The 22,590-nt window shown below is 48.4% G+C and overlaps 1 protein-coding gene across 7 annotated transcripts in view, besides 3 other annotated features; it reads left to right on the top strand.

Moving 5' to 3' along the window:
- The window catches only part of VAV2 (vav guanine nucleotide exchange factor 2), a 230,431-nt gene extending 227,988 nt beyond the window's left edge, over positions 1-2,443 (top strand). For all 7 annotated transcript variants that reach the window (NM_003371.4, NM_001411028.1, XM_017015109.2 and 4 more), the window contains one exon: positions 228-2,443. In NM_003371.4, the coding sequence (NP_003362.2) occupies positions 228-275 (48 nt within the window). In that variant the 3' untranslated portion in view covers positions 276-2,443. The remainder of the gene's footprint in view (positions 1-227) is intronic.
- Positions 18,376-18,670: an enhancer, noted in NCBI's record as "tiled region #10163; HepG2 Activating DNase matched - State 5:Enh". NCBI's record gives its function as "activates a minimal TATA promoter and a strong SV40 promoter by Sharpr-MPRA in HepG2 cells {active_cell/tissue: HepG2}" and the evidence as "EXISTENCE:reporter gene assay evidence [ECO:0000049][PMID:27701403]".
- Positions 21,041-21,100: an enhancer, noted in NCBI's record as "active region_29248". NCBI's record gives its function as "activates an Ori minimal core promoter by ATAC-STARR-seq in GM12878 lymphoblastoid cells {active_cell/tissue: GM12878}" and the evidence as "EXISTENCE:reporter gene assay evidence [ECO:0000049][PMID:35858748]".
- Positions 21,112-21,262: a silencer, noted in NCBI's record as "fragment chr9:136608197-136608347 (GRCh37/hg19 assembly coordinates)". NCBI's record gives its function as "represses an EF-1alpha promoter that drives an FKBP-Casp9 reporter gene in an ReSE screen in HepG2 liver carcinoma cells {active_cell/tissue: HepG2}" and the evidence as "EXISTENCE:reporter gene assay evidence [ECO:0000049][PMID:32094911]".

The raw sequence follows: 22,590 nt of genomic DNA, 5'->3' as shown, positions 1-22,590 counted from the left end.
GCAGCTGGAGGGTGGGCAGATCATCTTAAACTGGCCAAGGGTGGTGTTTTTCTGGGTTGCTCTTACTCCCAGGCAATGGTTCCACCAGGTCCTTCTGAGAACTCTGGACTTCCGAAGGGCCCCCCATCTTCATGAGCCTCTACTTGCCCTCACCCCAACATAGACATGCACACACCTGCTTACACACACACACACACACACAGACACGATCTTACCATCTTTTTCAGATTGGCTGGTTTCCTTCAACGTACGTAGAAGAGGAGGGCATCCAGTGACGGCAGGAACGTGGACAAGACTCGCAGATTTTCTTGGGAGAGTCACTCCAGCCCTGAAGTCTGTCTCTAGCTCCTCTGTGACTCAGAGGGGAAATACCAACCTCCCAGTCTTCCACTGCCCACAGGGATAGGGAGGGTGTTGAGAATCCTAAACTCGAACCGTTTCACTGTCAGCCTGCCCTCGGCGACCCATCACTGGGTATGCTATTGTACATAGAGGAAACCTGGGCTAGCCCCACCCAGAGCGCAGAGGAGGGGGCACCGACAGCGCTGCGAGCCAGGCTCTGGGTAGTGGCTGAGGCCAGAGGCCCATCGCCTGCCCCTGTCCAACTGAGATGGCCTTCAGGAGCCTAGGTTTGAACAGCAGATGCTGTCCCAGGAAGGGCTAGGGACATCGGAGGGGACCTGCCCCCACACCCTCTGCTCAGCCCCTGGACTCAGCCTTGCCTGTCTTTTCCTGCTGCTCCCAGGGGGAGGTGTCAGACCTCGGGAGGCAGACGGGACCAGAGCCAGGCTGTTCACTGTGGGCCCACTTGCCCCACTGTGCTAGGGCGCGGGAGGAGAGAGCACTGTGGTCGCCCTCTGCAGCCACTCTGGCTCCCAAGACTTCCCTGACTCCCCCACTCCCCTCCTTGCCAGGGGCACACCCGGACCCCACACGGCAGGCCCCTCTCTTGGGAGGGGCCTTTGGAATGATGAAATTCCAACCCTGCTGCCCGGTCAGCGGTACCGTTTCCTGCCCTCTCTCTGAGAGGCCCTTTCTGGAGTCCTGGGAAGGTGTCTGCCTGGCCGCGCTGCCAGATCAGTACATCTTTTGTAAAAACCCTGAAATGGGCAGGGAAGAAAACAGGGATTTCCCCTCTCTAGATCCCTGCCAGGTCCCTCTCCAGGAGGCCCCTCTGCTCTCCTGAAGGGTGGTCCCTGAGGGTCTGCCCAGCCTTGGCACGAGAGGTTGGTTCCAGCCCCTGGCAGGGCTTCCTTCCAAGGGCCCCTGCAGCCTACAAACTGGGCCTCGGGCGACTCAAAATAAGTGCTCTTGGGGGTGGCTCTACCCCATTACCTCCCCCAGCCACAACTCCTGGCCTTCGACTTCTGGCTGGGTTAGCCAGACCCTGGTTTCTCTACCCTGATGTTGCATGAGACCTGGTAACAGTGTCTCCCTCCCAGCTCCTTGCCAAAGCCTCTGTTGAGACCTGGGCTTCTTGTAGCCCCTTCTCCCTCTGGCCAGCTGCACAGCCTGTGGGAGGTGCCCGGCCCAGGCTGGGTGTGGGGGAAGCTGGTCCCTGCTGTGGGTGGCGCTGGGGACCTAGGGGCTCCTTCTGAGGTTGGCCTTGTGGCCTCTGGGCTGTATGCCTCTGGGGTGTAGGGAAGAGGCGGGAGGAGTCATGGGGATGGGGAGCGGCAGGGGGAGAGAGGGGCCCTCGACAAAGGCTTGGGAAATGAGGGGAGGTGGAGGCAGGGCAGGGGAAGCGAAGAGTCAGCCTTGGAGAGAGCACCCTGGGGCCTCCGTGTCGGGGTACACCCAGCACTTTGCGACCTGCGGCCCAGCAGGCGCGGAGGATGGCGGGGAGGAAGCCAGCAGCCCCTGTGTTTACTGTCGTCAGAAAGGTCTTGTGTTTTGGTTTTGGGGTTTTTGTTTTGTTTGTGTTTTGTTTGGCTTGTTTGTTTTTTAAGGGGAAAAAAGTTTGTAATTATTTCATCCAAATCTCCCGTTATATATCTGTGAATAATAAGAGATTTTATAATAGCAAGAAAATGATGTATATTTTAGTTTGTTGACAAATAAGTCATCATGATCACGAAGGACACTGAGAAAAAATAATTTAGAACCCTGGTTTTTGTGAATTTTTTTGTTTTGTGTTTCTTTGTTTTGAGATTTGTGTTTGGTTTGGTTTTTGCACTGCACTAAGGCAGGAGGGTTGGAGGGCTGGGTGCAGCCTGGGAGTCCGATGGTTTTCAGCAGGAGACGGGGTGTCCCCTGCAGGGGGCTAAACTGCAGGGGCCTGAGATTAGCTGTGAACATGTGGGAGCCCGATGCATGTGGGTCAGGGATCTGGGGGCCCCCCCAGCTGGCGGGAACCCCAAATGGACACAAACTGTACATTTGCCAATGGGTTTTTTTCAGACCATGGTTTTTACTTGCAAATAAACCTGAGTTCTTTTCTGCAGGAGTGGTCAGCCTTTCGTACCAGGGGAGGAGGGAATGGCTGGATTCTTCCGCCTAAGTCCAGCAGGGTCTGTCTGACTGGGGTGCTTGGATCTCAGGGTGGCCCAACCGCAGCAGGGTCTGAGAGATACGGAGGTAATGGTGCCATGGCCACCTCCCGGCTGGCACAGCACCCTGGGTTTCCCATGCGGTGCCCTGGAATTCTCCAGGTGGCATCGGGCATACAAATGGGATTCTAATTCCTGCCCCATCACTTGGGTACCTCTTGAGCCCCTGTTTCTTTACATGTATATTGAAGATAAAAATAGCCTCAGTGCAGTGGCACACACCTGTCATTTTAGCACTTTGGGAGGCTGAGGTAGGAGGCTGAGGTGGGAGGATGGCTTGAGCCCAGGAAGTTGAGACCCGCCTGGGCAACATGGCGAGACCCTGTCTCTACAACATTTTTTTTTTAATAGTTGGGCATATGGTGGTGCACATCTGTGGTCCCAGCTTCTCGGGAGGGTGAGGTGGGAGGGTCGCTTGAGTCCAGGAGGTCGAGGCTGCAGTGAGCTGTGATTGCACCACTGTACTCCAGACTGGACAACAGAGCAAGACCATGAATCTAAAAAAAACAAAACAAAACAGAACAAAAAAAAAAAAAACCTCTCCATTTTGGTGGGTTCTGTGGTGTATGATAGAGAAAACCAAAATAGAAAATGAGAGATTTATTTCTCCTTCCCCTCATGGAGGACCATCCAGAGGCAGCAGCTCCTTTGCCTTGCCCTGGTCCCAGAGCCATCAGGAACCCTGGCTCCCCCCTCCCTGATCCCCTGGTCTCAGGGGGGCTCCTCTTTCCTGATTCCCCATCCTCAGAGGCTCCTCCTTCCCAATCTCCCATCTTCAGAGGCTCCTCCTTTCCCGATCCGCCGTCCTCAGAGGCTCCTCCTTCCCGATCCTTCGTCCTCAGAGGCTCCTCCTTCCTGATCCGCCGTCCTCAGAGGCTCCTCCTTCCTGATCCCTCGTCCTCAGAGGCTCCTGCTTCCTGATCCCCCATCCTCAGAGACTCCTCTTTCCCGATCTCCCGTCCTCAGAGGCTCCTCCTTCCTGATCCTCCGTCCTCAGAGGCTCCTCCCTCTCTGATCCTGCATCCTCAATGGCTGCTCCTTCCTGATCCCCCATTCTCAGGGGCTCCTTCTCCCTGATCCCCCATTCTCAGAAGCTCCTCCTTCCTGATCCCTCATCCTCAGAGGCTCCTCCTCCCTGATCTCCCGTCCTTAGCATGCCCTTCCCTCCTTGTGGCTGCCTCGTGGTCCACGGTGGCTGCTGGAGCTCCTGCCACAGGGCCATGAGAGAGAACAGAGATCCCCTTACAGCTCTGGCCAGGAAACAGCCCATTTTCTAGAAGTGGAAACTGAGGCTGAGATATGTGAAGTGACTCATCCAAGGTCACACGTGGCCCTTGCACAGCTCGGTCTGATGCCAGAGTCCACGTTTCTGTTTGGGCAGCACCCAGTTCCTAAGCGATGACTTTTCTGCCTCTCAGGCCAGCCCCTGGGTCTCCCACCCTTCCTGCAGACTGGACCCTGGCCAGCCTTCGCCCCACTGAGGCTGCTGGGAGGCGAACCCGATGGGCAGAGTGAAAATGCCCCCTTCTCCAGGAGCTTCCAACCCCAGGAACCTCTCCCTTGGGCCAAGCCTTCTCCCAGATGTGCAGGCTGGACCATGCCCATCTGACCTGCCCTCGCCCCCATTCACTGGTACGTCAGCCGAGTCTCCAGGAGGGACCCCTTCCCAGGGCCGGCCCCACCCTCCTCACGCAGCCCTCCCTGCTGCTCCTGGCCCCCTGGGGGTGGCAGGCAGGTGTGGGTGCAGGGCGACCCCTGGACAGCTGACCGTGGAGTGGGTGTCCCAGGCTGGTGATCAGAAGGGTGAATCAAGGAGAAGTGATGGGGCCTTGCGTTCTGAGAGAAAATAAAATAGCTCCCATTTACTGAGTGTTTTCTTCTACCAGGCATGGGGGCTCTGGGCGAGCACATCCCTCCCCTTCCTCCGTCCTTGCCCTCCCTCTGTCCCTGCCCTCCCTCCATCCCTCCCCTCGCTCCACCCTCCCCTAGCTCAGTCCCTCCCCTAGCTCCATTCCTCCCGGTGTTCCGTCCCTGCCCCGCTCCGTCCCTCCCCCTCGCTCCGCCCCTCCCCTCGCTCCGCCCCTCCCCCTCGCTCCGCCCCTCCCCCTCGCTCCGCCCCTGCCCTCGCCCTGTCCTGGTTGGCTCAGGCTGCCGTGACCGCTGTGGCTCAGGCCCCAGACCCGGCTGCCTCAACTCTGAAATCTCCTTTCTTACGGTTCTGAGGCTGGAAGTTGGAGATGCAGTAAGGGAGGGCGTTGGTTCCTCCTGAGGCCTCTGCATGCTCATCTCAGAGGTCTCTCCCTCCTCTCATGGGGACCCCGTCCTCTTGGATTAGGGCCTACCCTCAGGACCTCGTGTCACCTCTTCCGAGTCCTTCTCAGAGTCACATTTGCGGCAAGTTCTCCACGATGGCTTTGCAGCAAGAATCACTTCCACTCACTCCACAGTCCTAGCGAGGGCCCACTCTGTGCCTTTTCGATGCCCGGGAAGAAACCAAATGGAAAAGCCGCCGCCGGGGAAGCTGATATGCAGGGAGTGGGGAGGGGTGGGGGGAGAATTGAGGAAGCTCTGGATTGTTTTTCTTTCTGCTCCTTTTCTCTCTCCCCCTGCTTGTCCCTCTCCCCCTCTTTCCCTGAATGTGTTGCAGTTTTCTACGGGACTCATACAATCCCTACTTGACCCACTTTGGGTGTTTTCTTTTCTTTCTTTTTTTTAAGAGATAAGGTCTCACTCTGTCACCCAGGCTGGAGTGCAGTGGCCCAGTCCTAGCTCACTGCAGCCTCACGGTCCTGGACTCAAGCAATCCTCCTGCCTTAGCCTCCCAAGTAGCTGAGACTACAGGCACGTGCCACCCTGCCCAGCTAATTTTTTTTTTTAATTTTTTGTAGAGATGGGGTCTTGCTACTTCACCCAGGCTGGTCTTGAACTCCTGGCCTCAAATGATTTTCCCACCTTGGCCTCCCAAAAAACCAAGATTATAGGTGTGAGCCGTCGCACCCAGCCTAGGTGTTTTCTTTTATCTATTAAGTGTTGCAAAAAATACGAATTTTGTGCTTGTGCTTGATTTTTCTCATTTATCCAATCAATTTGTATTGATTCCTTACCTGAGATCCAATGTTGAACAAGACCAACAAGGTCTCAGCCAGTTTCTAGTGGCATATCAGGCTGAGCTAACATGGAGGCCTCTCTTCCTCCACTGCCAACACAGAAATCCTTGAAAAAAAACATGCAGAAGGCATAGCTGAGCTGGAAAGAAGGGCCCATTCCAGAAAAAGAGAAATCGAAGCCCGAGGAGATATTGGGAGCTAACCCCGGGGCAGTCTCCAGGGTCTTGGCCTCTCTGGGCCTGGGACCGGTTCCAACACTCTCCTGGCATTGGGAGCCACAGTTGCAGATCCCCCGAGGCCAGAAGCCAGCACTGGGCCCCCTGCATAAAGTTAAGCATCTCAGAGAATCCCCATTGTGCAGAGGAGACTGACACGCATGGATAGTTGAGAGTGTCTGGAAAACAAAGCCAAAATCACGGAGAAGGATAAATGTTTTAAAATATTTTTTAAAGGTTACAGAAATAGAATAAAAAGGCACACCATACCCCACGCCAAATGAACCAAGAATGGTTAACCTTGGAGTTCAAAGATAAAAAGTAATCCACTGGGCATCCAAGCAGAAAGAACAAGTCTCTTAAGAGAAAAAAAACCAATCAGGTTTGCTTTAGACATTACTCCAGTAACACTCGACATTACCCCAGTAACGCTCAATGCTAGAAGGCAATGAACAATTCACACAAGGTCTTCATGGCAAGAGAGACCCAAGAGTTTGATGCTCAAATAGTTGCTCATTTGTCAGGCAGCAACTAACGCATTGCCACATGTAAAGACTCAGGGGCGGCCCGGCGGGGTAGCTCACGCCTGTAATCCCAGCACTTTGGGAGGCCGAGGCAGGTGAATCACTTGAGGTCAGGAGTTCGAGGCCAGCGTGGCCAACATGGCAAAACCCCTTCTCTACTAAAAATACAAAAATTAGCCAGGCATGGTGGTGGGCGCCTGTAATCCCAGCTACTCTGAGGCCAAGGCAGGAGAATCGATTGAACCCGGGAGGTGGAGGTTGCAGTGAGCTGAGATTGCACCACTGCACTCCAGCCTGGGCGACAGAGTGAGACTCCATCTGAAAAAAAAAAAAAAAAAAAAGACTCAGGGGCTGTTACTCAGGGAGCACTTGTTAGAACAATGACCAGGGGCAAACTCCGGCTGGATGACTGGAAAGCTGCCCCAAGGATTGGGGCAGAGTGTGGAACCGGAATCTCTGGAAACAAGTCTTTTTTTTATTTGTTTTAATCAAACAAAAGAGATTTCTAAGTTTTTTGCGTTCCTTAAAAGTGAAGGCTTTGTCAAACATTTTTGTCTACTCTGGGAAATGTACAATGATTAGAAAAGTGCATGTCATAATAGTTTCCTTTTTTTTCTTTGAGACAGAGTCTCGCTCTGTTGCCCAGGCTGGAGTGCAGTGGCACAACCTCAGTTCACTGCAGCCTCCGCCTCCCGGGTTCAAGTGATTCTCTTCCCTCAGCCTCCTGAGTAGCTGGGATTACAGGCACCCGCCACCACGCCTGGCTAATTTTTGTATTTTTAGTAGAGACGGGGTTTCACCATCTTGGCCAGGCTGGTCTTGAACTCCTAACCTCATGATCCGACCGCCTCGGCCTCCAAAAGTGCTGGGATTACAGGCGTGAGCCACCACCCCCGGCCATCATAGTAGTTTTCCAAACTTCTAGTAGTGCTCCAAAACCTCGAAAGTACTCCAAAACATCATAGCAGTACTCCAAAACCTCGAAAACAGACAGCTCGGAATAGCTTAAGAAGTATAACCTGAAGATTTTAAAATTTCAGAAATTAGCCTTTTATAAATTGTGCAGAATATTTATTTTTATAAAAAAAAAGATTATGTTTTCCGGACACATAGGTATTTAGATTACTTCTACCCTGCAAGACTCTCGTGAAAATAAAAGACTTCAAATAGAAAAGGAGAAAAAAGTCAAAGGGAAGAAAGGAAAAGCCGGTTTACAGCATGTGAATTGCTTCTGGACGCTCTGGTTCTTGAATGGGCCTGTGCAGCCTCGTCTGTGTATCTGAGCATTCCATGTCTTCAATACCAGATTTGAAAGAAAGAAATTGGAGAAAGCACAGAAACAAGTCTTCAACGCGGTGGGAGAGGTGCTGCTGCTAGGCAGCTGTGGTAAGCCCTGCAGAAGGCAATCACGAATGTAAAGAAGTATAGTGAGTTCTTATACCTGTTGCTTTGATGTCCATTTTGAATATAAGTTTAACTCTCTCACACCAGAAGCAGGGCTCGTCACCCTCGACACAGTTTACAGTTTTTTTATTGTTGTTTTCGTTTCCGTTTTTGAGACGGAGTCTTGCTCTGTTGCCAGGCTGGAGTGCAGCGGCACGATCTCGGCTCAATGCAACCTCCGCCTCCTGGGTTCAAGCGATTCTCCTGTCTCAGCCTCCCAAGTGGCTGGGATTACAGGCGTCCGCCACCACGCCCAGCTAATTTTTGTATTTTTAGTAGAGATGGGGTTTCACCATGTTGGCCAGGCTGGTCTCGAACTCCTGACATCTGGTGATCCACCTGCCTCAGCCTCCCAAAGTGTCAGGGTTACAGGTGTGAGCCGCCGCGCCCGGCCACAGTTTATAGTTCTGTGCCTGCAGCACTCCCCCAGTTCCTCAGTGTGGTCGATCCAGACATCTGTCTTGTGCCACCGCCTCCTGGTGACCACCTCGCTGTGGAACAGCTGGAACAGCCTGCTGGACCGACCCACCCACTGTGTGGCCATGCAGGCAGGCCACAGTGATGGCCTCTCAGTCAGTCGGCAACCAGAGACCTTGAGGCTGCCTGTCCTAACCCCACCAATCAGAACCCTTGTGGGAAAGCTGCTTGGGTAACACCCTGGACCCCAATAAAGACTTTGGCCCACAGGTGTCTCTCTCTCCCTTTCTCCCTCTCCATCTTTCTCACTCACCCTCTCTCTCTCTCCCTGTCTCCCTCTCTCTCCCCCTCTCCCCCTCTCCCCCTCTCTCCCTCTCTCTCCCTGTCTCCCTCTCTCCCTTTCCCTCTCTCCCCCACCCTCCCTCTTTCTCCCTCTCCCTCTCCCCACTGGTGGTTTAGCATGTGTGTTCTGGACTATCCCCTCTTATCAGCCCCAAGAGGCACAGCCCTCTCTCTCTGGATCTGGAAGGAGTGCGCTGCTCTGATTCCATGTGTCCTGTGCCGCTGCCTCCTCTGTGTCCACCTGAGCCACACGCCCCAGCCTCACTCTCCTCTGGGTCCAGCCTCTCCTGGAAGGTGGATGACATGGATATGACCTCTCCAGAGAGAGGCCTCAAGACTAAATTAGAGGAAAACAAGACAAAAAGAGATAAAGACAGTGGGGAAGGGAAAGAGGAGCGGGTTGGGGAGGACAGAGGCACTGGTTTCCTCCGTTTGTCGGGCTTCAATGATATTTCTTGACTTTTACCTGGAAAATCGAGTGATGGAGGCATAAGTAGACTTCACGGCACAAATACAAACACCAAGAAAGATAATGAATTAAAGTTGGATGAAGATGAGAGAAAGGAAGGGTGAGGAAGATAAAAAAATAGTAATACAGTTTCCGGCCAGGGAAGGAGCAATGCGTGTTGTCTCCAGAGGCTTGCCTTCTGCCTCCAGCAGTGTGTGCATTCATTTTTCTATCGCTGTGTCACAAATTACACACGTGGGGGCTTAACACAACACATTTATTATCTCATGGTTCTGTAGGTCATAGAAGCCCAGCCTAGGTCTCGCTGGGCTGAAATGGAGGTGTCAGCAGAGTTACGTTCCTTCCTGGAGGCCCCAGGGGGAAACCATTGCCTTCCCTTTTCCGGCTTCTAGAAGCTGCTGCATCTGTTGAATCATGGCGCCATGCTCCATCTTCAAAGCCAGCATAGTGGCATCTCTCTGGCCCCTCTTCCAAAGTCACAGCTGTCTCCCTCGGGTTACAGCTGGGAAGGGGTCTCCACTTTTCAGGACTCATATGATTAGATTCACTCAGATGATCCAGGACAATCTCCCTGGATCACATCTTCAAAGTCTCTTTTGCAGTGAAAGGTAACACATTGACAGGTTCCAGACTGTGACGTAGTCTGGAACATGGATATCTTTCGGGGGGGCCATTATTCTGTCTTTTGCAGTAGGTTACATATCCTGATCAACCCTTCTGATAAGACAACAAAAACACTGGGAACATATTTGTAATTCCATCAATGAGCTGGTGATAAAGAAAAACACATGCCGAAGTAAAGGCAGGAATCCAGACGGGGGGGCTGGCTTCCTCCTTATGGGTGTTTGCCCAACTGGGTGAGCTTAAGGGCCAATCTTTATCACCTGGCTGGGCGTGCGAGCGAGACAAAACCCAGGGCCCACCCAAGGCAAGCCCCTCTTTAAAGCCGGGACCCCAACAGGCCTCACCCCCAACATCAGGAAGAGTAGAAATACCCACCTCCATACACACACTGCTGCCACCACCACCACCAAGGGATTGCAAAGGAAATTCTCTTTCTTGTACCTTGATGTAGCACAGGAAATTCTCTTTCTTGTACCTTGATGTAGCAGGATGAGCCGCAGACAAAACTCCTCAGACACCGAATTAAAGAAGGAAGAGGTTTATTCAGCCGGGAGCATCAGCAGACTTGCGTCTTAAGAGCCGAGCTCCCTGAAAAAGAAATTCTTGGCCTTTTTAAAGGCTTATAGCTAGCTCTAAGGGGTCCACGTGAAAAGGTCGTGATAAATCGAACAAGCATGGGAAACGTGACTGGGGCCTGCATGCATCAGCGAACAGAACAAAGTTTTGCAATGCTTTTTCATACAATGTCTGGAATTTACAGATAACACAAGTAGTTTAGGTTAGGGGTTGATATTATTATTATTACTTTTTTTTAACTCCTAGGGCCGGGTGGTGGTGCCAAGGTTGTCTGGCTATTTATCTTACTTCTGTTTATTTCTAATTTTTTGCTTTCTCTCTTTCCTCCTGTCTTGTGAACTAGGCAAAGTTGGGGGAGGAGGGCAGCAGAAGTAGTAGTGGTCTCCTTCCTTATTGACAGTGGGTGGAAAGAGAACTAACCTGAGAGCACGTGTTACAGATTGCATTGTGCCCCACCCCCCATCTTGAAACTCTTAGCTCTCAATACCTGTAAATGTGATCGTATTTGGAAATAGGGTCTTTACAGATGTAATCAATTTAAGATGAGGTCATTAGGGCAGACCCTAATCCAGTCTTACCGGGGTCCTTGTAGAAAGGGGGAACTTGGACACAGAGAGAGACCTGCACACAGAGAGAACACTGTGTGAAGATGGAGACAGAGATTGGGATGACATATCTACAAGCTAAGGAACATCAAAGATTGCCAGCAACCACCAGGCACTAAGGGAGAGGCATGGAACAGATTCTCCCCTAGAGCCTCCAGAAGGAACCAACCCTGCCGACACTCATATCTTGGACTTTGGGCCTCCAGAACTATGAGACAACAAATTGTTGTTCCAGCCATGGAGTGTGTGGTACTTTGTACTGCACCAGTAATACGATGTGCAACTCTGATTTGACACCTAAGAAGGTTCCAGCCTGAAATTACACTTCCTTTGGTTCGAAAAACCTGGAGCTAAGAGTTTAAAGTAGAATACGGGGATTTTTGGCTCTCCTGGGTGCCTGGAAAAAGGAAATGCAAATCCACTTTCAGCCTCAAATAATCCCCAGAGGTAATGTTCTAAGAAATACACATTAACTGTCAAAAAGCATAGATCATCCAAGGAAACAAGATGCACCGCACAGTGGCAGCAAAAACCACGGGGTGCAGAATCAGATCCACAGAAGTAGAATACAAAATAGTTGTGTGTGATGCAGAATAGAAAGGATTGGAAATACGTGTAAAGAGCAAGAAACTCTGAAAATAACCAAGTCGGTTGGGAAAAGATCAAGCAGAACTTCTAGTGCTGCAAAATCTCGGTTGGAACTGGCAGGAAATTGGATTTGGAATGGATGCCACATCGCATGGTGTGGCCCAAGGAAGAGGTGCAGTTGGGGGGACATTTACTAGGCGTGCAGGAAGGCCAATGCCACTGTTAGACACACAGTGGGTTTGCATTCCAGAGAAAGACACTGTCGCCTCCACCCCATGACTACCTTCTTATAGCGCAAACATGAGAAAATGGCTTGTCAGGTGGAGGAAACAGGAAACGACTTGGGTTCCAGTGGCTTCTGGGAGCTTTCAGAGAATGCCTGCTGCCCAGCCCCCTAGGACCTTGGAGTGCAGGGGAACTTGTAGCTCCCTTTGCTAACAGAAGGAAGTTCTTGGTCCTGGGGGAAGCTGGATTTTGGAGCAGCCTCTCTGAGAGAAGGAAAATGGCCCTTGGTGTCTCGCTGTTTATCACAGTGAGCTCTCAGGGTCAAGCAGCCCTTTTGTACCACAGATATTTACATCATAATGTATGGGTTTAACCTTGGATTGGACAAGAAAGAATCGGTGAACTGGAAAATAGTTCTAATGACATCCTTGACGATGCAGAGATGAAACTAATGAAGACGGAGATGGAAGGAGAAGTTCCAATGTACATATAATTTAGACAAATTCCAGAAGAAGAAAGTAAAATGGATGAGGAAGTAGAATGGATAAGAAGCAATATTTGAAGAGACACTGGGTTTGTGTCTGCAAGTAAACTTGAGAGGTAATCTAGGTCTTCAACATAAGGACTGCAACTCTTAGGTGAGTCCCAGTGCTGAACTAGGCCCAGAGACAGTGGACTCGTGGGGCAGGGGGCAGGGGAGCATGCAACATACTGAGACACCAGCTGGGGCAGCCAAGAGGGTTCTGGCGTCAGCCCTCCCTTAATCCTAGGCTGCACAGCTTGTGGGTCTAAAAGAGACCCCTTTCTTCCGCTTGAGGAGAGGACAAGGAAGAGTGGGGAGGACTTTGTTTTGCATCTTGGATACCAGCTCAGCCACAACAGGATAGGGCACTGGTCAGAGTCGTGAGGTCCCTGTTCCAGGCCAAGCTCCCAGATGACATTTCTGGACACACCCTGGGTCAGAAGGGAACCTGCTACTTTGAAGGGAAGGACCCAGTCCTGGAAGCATTCTCAATCGCCTGTTAACTGAAGAGCCCTTGGGCCCTCAATAACCAGCAGTGATACCCAGGTACTATAAGTTGAGGGCCTTGGGTGAGCCTCTGAGACTTGCTGGCTTCAAGTACCAGCACGGCCACAGTGGGGTAGAGCGCCAGATGGGCCCTTGAGGTCCTCGATTCCAGGACTTGACTCTTGGACAGCGTTTCTGGATGTGTCCTGGGCCAGAGGAGAGCCCATTGCCCTGAACAGTGAGTCCCAGGCCAGGCAGCATTCACCACGACCTGACTTAAGAGACCTTGGGTCTTAAGGGAACATTGGCTGGTAGTCTGGCAGTACTCCTCACGGCCTGGGGTGGTGGTGGATGGGGTGAGGCTCCTCTGCCTTTGGAAAGGAGAGGGAAGAGTGGGAAGGACTGCTGCTTGTGGTTTGAGTGCCAGCTCAGCCACAATACAGTAGAACACCAGGTAGACTTCTAAACTTTTTGACGCTAGTCCCTGACTCCCAGATGGCACCTCTGGACCCACCTGAGGCCTAGGGGACCTTGCTGCCCTGAAGGGAAAGACACAGGCCTAGCTGGCTTTGCCACCTTCCGATTGTAGAGCCCCAGGGCCTTGAGTGAACATAGGCAATAGCCATGGAGTTTAGAGCAGCAGGCCTTGGGCAAGACCCAGTGCTGTACTGGCTTCAGGTCTGACCCAGTGCAGTCATAGTGGTGGTGGTCACAGGGGTGCTTTTGTCACTCCATCCCCAGCTTTAGGTGACTCAGAACAGAGAGAGAGAGACTCTGTTTGTTTGGGAGAAAGAAAGGGAAGAGAACAAGAGTCTCTGCCTGATAATCCAGAGAATTCTCCTGGATCTTTTCCAAGACCATCAAGGCAGTACCTCTACGAGTCTGCAAGAACCACAGAATTACTAAGCTTGGGGTGCCCCCTAAAGCAGATACAGCTTAGATCACGACATCCAAGTATTTTCAAAATCTGGAAAGCCTTCCCAAGAAGGATGGCTACAAATAAGCCCAGACAGAGAAGACTATAATAAATACCTAACTCTTCAATGCCCAGACGCCAAAAAACATCTACTAGCATCAACCGCATCCAGGAAAACATGACCTCACCAAATGAACTAAGTATAAGGCACCAGGAACCAATTCTGGAAAAACAGAGATATGTGACCTTTCAGACAGAGAATTCAAAATAGCTGTGTTGAGGAGACTTAAAGAAATTCAAGATAAACACAGAGAAGGAGTTCAGAATTATATCAGATAAATTTAACAAAGATACTGAAATAATTTAAAAGAATCAAGCAGAAATTCTGAAGCTGAAAAATGCAATTGGTATACTGAAGATTGCACCAGGATCCTTTACCATCAGAATTGATCAAGCGGAAGAAAGCATTAGTGAGCTCGAATACAGGCTATTTGAAAATACACAGTCAGAGGAGACAAAAAAGAATAAAAGCAATGAAGCACCCCTACAGGATCTAGAAAATAGCTTCAAAGGGGGCAAATCTAAGAGTTATTAGCCTTGAAGAGGAGGTAGAGAAACATATAGGGGTAGAAAGTTATTCAAAGGGATAATAGAGAACTTCCCAAACCTAAAGAAAGAGATTGATATCCAAGTACAAGAAGGTTATAGAACACCAAGCAGATTTAACCCAAAGAAAACTACCTCAAGGCATTTAATAATCAAAATCCCAAAGGTCAAGGACAAAGAAAAGATCCTAAAAGCCACAAGAGAAAGGAAACAAATAACATACAATGGAGCTCCAATACGTCTGGCAGCAGACTTTTCAGTAGAAACCTTACAGGCCAGGAGACAGAGGCATGACATACTTAAAGTGGTGAAGGAAAAAAAAACACAAAAACCTTTTACCCTAGTATATCCAGTGAAAATATCCTTCAAACATGAAGGAGAAATAGACTTTCCCAGACAAACAAAAGCTTAGGGATTTCACCAACACCAGACCTGTCCTACAAGAAATGCTAAAGGGAGTAATTTGATCAGAAGGAAAAGAACATTAATGAGCAATAAATGATCACCTGAAGGTATAAAACTCACTGGTAATAGTAAATACACAGAAGAACACAGAATGTTATAACACTGTAACTGTGGTGTGTAAACTACTCTTATCCTAAGTAGAAAGATGAAACAATGAACCAATCAGAAAGAATAACTACAATAACTTTCCAGGACATATTCAGTATAATAAAATATAAATAGAAACAACAAAAAGTTAAAAAACAGGGATGAAGTGAAGGCATAGAGTCTTTATTAGTTTTCTTTTTGCTTATTCGTTTATGCAGATAGTGTTAAGTTGTTATCAGGTTAAAATCATGGGTTATAAGATAGTATTTGCAAGTCTTATGGTAACCTCAAACCAAAAAACATACAATGGGTACACAAAATATAAAAAGCAAGAAACTAAATCATATCACCAGAGAAAATCACCTTCACTAGAGGAAGACAGGGAGGAAAGATAGAAGAAGGAGAAGACCACAAAACAATCAGAAAACAAAATGGCAGGAATAAGCCCTTACTTATCAATAATAACACTGAATGTAAATGGACTAAACGCTCCAATTGAAAGACATAGACTGGCTGAATGGATGAACAAACAGGACCATTGACCTGTTGCCTACAAGAAACATACTTCACCTATAAAAATACACAGAGATTTAAAATAAATGGATGGAAAAAGATATTCCATGGAAACCAAAGAGCAGGAGTTGCTATACTTATATCAGACAAAATAGATTTCAAGACAAAAACTATAGTATGAGACAAGGTCACTATATAATGATGAGGGGGTCAATTCAGTAAGAGCATACTTTCAAAGTAATTCTATGAGGCCAGTATTACCTTGATACTGAAACCAGACAAAGACACATCATAAAAAGAAAACTACAGGCCAATATCTCTGATGAATATTGATATAACAGTCCTCAGTAAAATACTAACGAACCAAATTCAACAATACATTAGAAAGATCATTCATCACGACCAAGTGGGATACATCATATGCAAATGGTTCAACATATGCAAATCAATTAACGTGATACATATCAACAGAATGAAGAATATAAACCATATGACCATTTCAATTGCTACTGCTGAAAAAGCATTTAATACAATTCGATGTCCCTTCATAATTTTAAAAAAAAATTAAAAACTAGGGATAGAAGGGCTGGGCGCAGTGGCTTACGCCTGTAATCCCAGCACTTTGGGAGGCCGAGGTGGGTGGATCACGAGGTCAGGAGATCAAGACCATCCCGGCTAACATGGTGAAACCCTGTCTCTACTAAAAATACAAAAAATTAGCCAGGTGTGGTGGTGGGCACCTGTAGTCCCAGCTACTCAGGAGGCTGAGGCAGGAGAATGGCATGAACCTGGGAGGCGGAGTTTGCAGTGAGCGGAGATCGTGCCACTGCACTCCAGCCTGGGCAACAGAGCGAGACTCCATCTCAAAGAAAAAAAAACAACAAAAAACCAAAAAACAAACAAAAAAATAACTGGGGATAGAAGGAACATACCTCAACATAATAAAAGCCATATACAAAAGACCCACAGCTAGGATTATACTGAATGGGGAAAAACTGAAACCCTTTCCTCTAAAATCTGGAACATGACAAGGATGCCACTGTCATCACTGTTGTTCAACATAGTACTAGAAGTCATAGCTAGAACAATCAGACAAGAGAAAGATATAAAGGGCAACCACAATGGAAAGGTAGAAGTCAAATTAACTTAATTGTACACTTTAAAATAACTTAGTGTAATTGGATTTTTGGTAACTCAAAGGATAAATACTTGAGGGGATTTATACCCCATTCTCCATGATGTGCCTATTTCATATTGCATAACTGTATCAAAGCATCTCATGTACCCCATAAATGTATACACTTACTGTGTACCCACAAAAATTAAAAATAAAAATCTTCAAAAAAGAGAAATTCTCAAAAGCCAAAGACAGAGATAAATTTGAAAGCAGTGAGAGAAATGCAATTCATCACATACAAGGAAACCCCTAGGAGATTATCAGTGAATTTCTCAGAAGAAATCTCATAGGCCAGGAGAGAGTGGGATCATATATTCACAGGGCTAGAAGGATAAAACTGTCAACCTTGGGAAAGATGTCCAGAAATGAAGGAGAGATAAAGGCTTTCCCAAACAAACAAAAGCTGTGGGAGTTCATTATCACTGCCTTACAAGAAATGCTAAAGGGAGTTTCTCAAGTTGAAATGAAAGGACAGTAACAACATGAAGACACAAAAGTATAAAAACTCTGTAAAGATAAAAATATAGTCAAATTGGGAGTACTCTGCCACTGTGTCTTAGTCCATTTTGCACTGCTGTAACAGGATGACACGGACCGGGTAATTTATAAAGAACAAAAATGTATTTCTCACAGTTTTGGAAGCTGGGGAGTCCAAGATCAAGGCATCAGCATCTGGTGTCTGGTGAGGGTCTTCTTGCTACATTCTCACACGGCAGAGGCAGAGGGTAGAAGAGCAAAAGGGGACAAACTTCTTCCATCAATCCCTTTTATAATGGCAGAGCCATCATGAAGTAAACACCCCAAAGGACACACTTCCCAATACTGTTGCACTGGGGACTAAATTTTAATATGAATTTTGTAGAAGACAAAAACATCCAAAGCATAGCATATTGTAATGGTGATACATAAATTATTTTAACTCTAGTATAAAATTTAAAGAATAATTATAGCAATAATTTGTTAATGGATACACAATATATAAAAGATGTAAAGTATGACCCCAATAACATAAAATGTGGGAGAGGAGAAATTAAAGTGTAGAGTTTTTGTATGTGGCTAAAGTTTAGTTGTTATCAGCTTAAACTGTTATAACTATAAAATGTTGTATATAAACCTCCTGGTAACCACAAAGAAAAATAACTGTAGTAGACCCACAAAAGATAAAAGGGAGTCAAAGCATACCACTACAAAAAAAAAAAAATCTCATAAAGACAGTGAGAGAGGAAGATAGGAACAATGAGACTACAAAACAATCAGAAAACAATTAACAAAATGGCAGTAATAAGTCCTTACCTATTAATAATTACTTTAAATTTAAATTGATTAAATTATCTACTCAGAAGCCACTAAGCAGCTGAATGGATTAAAAAACAAAACAAAACAAAATCCAACTATATGCTGCTTACAGGAGACTTGGTTTAGCTTTAAGGACACAGATAAGCTGAAAAATGTTATTCTATCCAAATGAGAAGCAAAAGAGAACATAAGTGGCTACACTTATATCAGACAAAATAGACTTTAAATCAAAACTATCCCAAGAGACAAAGACAGTTGTTATATAATGATAAATGGATCAATTCATCAAGAGGATATAACAATTCAAAAAATACATGCACTAGGCTGGGCACGGTGGCTCACGCCTGTAATCCCAGCACTTTGGGAGGTCAAGGCGGGCAGATCACAAGGTCAGGAGTTCGAGACCAGACTGACCAATATGGTGAAACCCTGTCTCTACTAAAAGAATACAAAAATTAGCCAGGTGTGGTGGTGCGTGCCTGTAGTCCCAGCTACTCAGGAGGCTGAGACAGAAGAATCGCTTGAACCTGGGAGGCGGAGGTTGCAGTGAGCCGAGATCATGCCACGGCACTCCAGCCTGGGCAACAGAGCAAGACTCTGTCTCTCTGTCTCTCTGTCTCTCTCTCTCTCTCTCTCTCTCTCTCTATATATATATATACACCCAACATGGGAGCACCTAACTCTGTAAAGCAAATATTAACATAACTGAAGGGAAAATAGATTACAATAATAGTAGAGGACTTCAGCACTTTAAACAGTGGACAGATTATCCAGCTGGAAAATCAATAAGAAAACAGGAGACTTGAGCAACACTACAGACCAAATGGCCCTAACAGATAGATTCAGAACATTCCATCCAATGGCAGCAGAACACACATTCTTGTCGAGTGCACATGGAACATTCTCCAGGAAAGATCATATGTTAGCTCACAAAACAAGTCTTAACACATTTAAGAAGATTGAAATCATATCAAGTATCGTTTCCAACCACAATGGTATAAAACTAGAAATCAATAACAGGAGGAAAAGTGGAAATTTTACACATGTGTGGAAATTTTTTTTTTTTTTTTTTTTTATTGATCATTCTTGGGTGTTTCTCGCACAGGGGGATTTGGCAGGGTCATAGGACAATAGTGGAGGGAAGGTCAGCAGATAAACAAGTGAACAAAGGTCTCTGGTTTTCCTAGGCAGAGGACCCTGCGGCCTTCCGCAGTGTTTGTGTCCCTGGGTACTTGAGATTAGGGAGTGGTGATGACTCTTAAGGAGCATGCTGCCTTCAAGCATCTGTTTAACAAAGCACATCTTGCACCGCCCTTAATCCATTCAACCCTGAGTGGACACAGCACATGTTTCAGAGAGCACAGGGTTGGGGGTAAGGTCACAGATCAACAGGATCCCAAGGCAGAAGAATTTTTCTTAGTACAGAACAAAATGAAAAGTCTCCCATGTCTACTTCTTTCTACACAGACACGGCAACCATCCGATTTCTCAACCTTTTCCCCACCTTTCCCCCGCTTCTATTCCACAAAACCGCCATTGTCATCATGGCCCGTTCTCAATGAGCTGCTGGGCACACCTCCCAGACGGGGTGGTGGCCGGGCAGAGGGGCTCCTCACTTCCCTGTAGGGGCGGCCGGGCAGAGGCGCCCCTCACCTCCCGGACGGGGCGGCTGGTCGGGCGGGGGGCTGACCCCCCACCTCCCTCCCGGACAGGGCGGCTGGCCGGGCAGGGGGCTGAACCCCCCACCTCCCTCCCGGAAGGGGCGGCTGCCGGGCGGAGACGCTCCTCACTTCCCAGACGGGGTGGCTGCCGGGTGGAGGGTCTCCTCACTTCTCAGACGGGGCGGCCGGGCAGAGACGCTCCTCACCTCCCAGACGGGGTTGCAGCCGGGCAGAGGCGCTCCTCACATCCCAGACGGGGCGGCGGGGCAGAGGTGCTCCCCACATCTCAGACGATGGGCGGCCGGGCAGAGACGCTCCTCACTTCCTAGATGGGATGGCGGCCGGACATGTGTGGAAATTTAACAACACAGTCCTGAACAACCAATGAGTGGAATAAGAAATCAAAAGGGAAATAAAATAATATCTTGAGGCAAATGAAAATGGAAATGCAACATACCAAACCTCATAGGATGCAGCAAAAGTGATTCTAGGTGGGAGGTTTATAGCAATAAATGCCTACGTTAAGAATGATCTCAAATAAACAACCTAACTTCACACCTCAAGGAACTATAAAATGAGGAACAAATTAAGGCCAAAGTTAGCAGAAGGAAAGAAAGAAAGATCAGAGCAGAAATAAATGAAATACAGACTTAAGAAACAATAGACAGGATCAACAAAACTAAGAGTTGAGTTTTTTTGAAAAGGTTAACAAAACCCACAAACCTTAGGCTAGACTAAAATAAAAAAAGACTCAGATAAATAAGAAAATTATAAATGAAAGAGGAAAGATTACAATTGATACCAAAGAAATAATAGACAACTATGCCAACAAATTGGATAACCTAGAAATGAATAAATTGCTAGAAGCAGACAGCCGACCAAGACTGAATCCCAAAAAAAACTAGAAAATCGGCCAGGGCGTGGTGGCTCACGTCTGTAATCCTAGCACTTTGGGAGGCCAAGGCGGGTGGATCACCTGAGGTCAGGAGACCAGCCTGGCCAGCATGGTGAAACCCCGTCTCTACTAAAAATACAAAAATTAGCCGGGCATGGTAGTGCAGGCTGTAATCCCAGCTACTCAGGAGGCTGAGGAAGGAGAATCAATTGAACTCGGGAGGTGGAGGTTGCAGTGAGCTGAGATCGTGCCACTGCACTCCAGCCTGCGTGACGGGAGCAAGACTCCACTTCAAAAAAACAAACACACAAGAACAAAACAAACAAACAAAAAACTAGAAAATCTGAACAGACCAATAATGAGTAAGGAGATTGAATCAGTGATCAAACACCTCCTAACAAAAAATAGCCCAGGATATCTGATGCCTTCGCTGGTGAATTCTGCCAAACATTTAAGAAAGAATTAATGCTGATTCTTCTCAAACTCTTCCAAAAAATTCAAGAGGAAGGAACACTTCCAAACTCATTTTATGAGGCCAGAATTACCCTGATACCAAAGCCAGACAAGGACATTACAAGAAAAGAAAATTATGGGCCAATATCCTTGATGAACAGAGATGCAAAAATCCTCACCAAAATATTAGCAAACCAAATTCAACAGCACGTTACAAAGATCATGCATCCTGATCAAGTGGATTTTATCCTTGGCGGAGGTGACTTCTTTGAGGTGACAGCCCCTCTGCTGGTGTGGTCTGGAAGAGAAGATAGGAGCCAGGCTGAGCCTAGGCTGTCAGTCCCAACCAGTGTAAGATCACCCCCTATCTGCCTGCTAGTCCCCTTCTGAGACTGGGTCCAGCTCCGCCAGGTTGTAATACTCACGTGTGGCCACCAGGGGCGGTGTTTCCTGCCAAGGCTACTCTTCCAGGGCAGACAGCCTGGAGGTGACCAGTGACTTTCATCCGTGGTGGGCTGCTGCCCTCACCTGAGTATCTGGAAGGGCATTCAGATTCTGGGGCCCAAAGAGAGCACTGCACAGTCCTCCCACCCTCCGTTCTGTGCAAGACGCACAGTTCCCTGGCTGCCCAGCCAGCACCAGCATCTCCTTTGAAGGTTACTCTTGCTCCTGCAGCTGGATGGAGAGTCCTGGTCAGTGCTGGGAGTCCTGGTCAGTGCTGGAAGGGCAAAGCTCCCAGATGCCAGCGGGAAATGCAAAAGGGCAAAATGCAGGGTAAGAACTGTGGCCAGCTGGAGTAGGAGTGACCCACCTAAGTGTGTCCAGTGGGTTTTGGGCCCCATGTGGCCAGCTTTTCAAGATTGAAGCTTGGAAATCTGGATTTTTACAGGGAGTTTCCAGGGCAACACATACAAAGACACAAAGCACAGCATGGGTCATGCCAGGGATCCCCTGCCCTTGGGCAGGCACATGAGAGCCCTGGAAGGTTTGGCTGACTAGCTGAGGGGTCTAGGCGGTGCTTGTGGGTCTCAGACCCTGGTGAGCCCAGGCTTCCAGCTTCTGCCCTCCCTCTTGCTTCTCCATCCTTCTCTCCAAATCCCCAGTGCAGACTGGGGCCCTACGCCAGGGCTGAGGTCAGCTCCCCACTGTGGGCAGGAAGTCCTTCTGAAGCCCCATGTCCTGTGTCCCCATCAGACGGTGGCAGTGCCTGCGGCCATGGACACAGTGCCCCGAGATGATTTCTTTTCTTTTTTCTTCTTTTTGAGACAGAGTCTAGCTCTAGTCTCAGGCTAGAGTGCAGTGGCGCAATTTCGGCTCACTGCAACCTCCGCCTCCCGGGTTCGCACCATTCTCCTGCCTCAGCCTCCCAAGTAGCTGGGACTACAGGCGCGCACCACCACGCCTGGCTAATATTTTTTTAAAATTTTAGTAGAGACGGGGTTTCACCGTGTTAGCCAGGATGGTCTTAATCTCCTGACCTCATGATCTACCTGCCTCGGCCTCCCATAGTGCTGGGATTATAGGCGTGAGCCACCGTGCCCGGCCCCGAGATGATTTTGAAGCACTCCTGGCACCTGCCTGGCATAGGCTCAGCCGCCGGGATCCACCATGTTTCCATGGATTCCACCGCGGATTCCATCCACCATGTTTCTTTCACTCACAAACAGTGTTAGGCCATGGAGTGGAGAGGGTGCTCCGGGGAATGAGGATCTGCATTCCGGCCCTCAGGAGCCCGAGCCCACAACGGCCCCAGGCCACAACTGCCAGGTGGGGGTCACTTCAGCAGCTCATTCCTGGGAATGCCTGTGCCCAGATGGCTTCAGGCCTG

Source organism: Homo sapiens, chromosome 9, assembly GCF_000001405.40.
Source record: "Homo sapiens chromosome 9, GRCh38.p14 Primary Assembly".
Taxonomy (NCBI): domain Eukaryota; kingdom Metazoa; phylum Chordata; class Mammalia; order Primates; family Hominidae; genus Homo; species Homo sapiens.
Note: the sequence above shows the minus strand (reverse complement) of the source record. Positions and strands in the feature narration are given on the sequence as shown.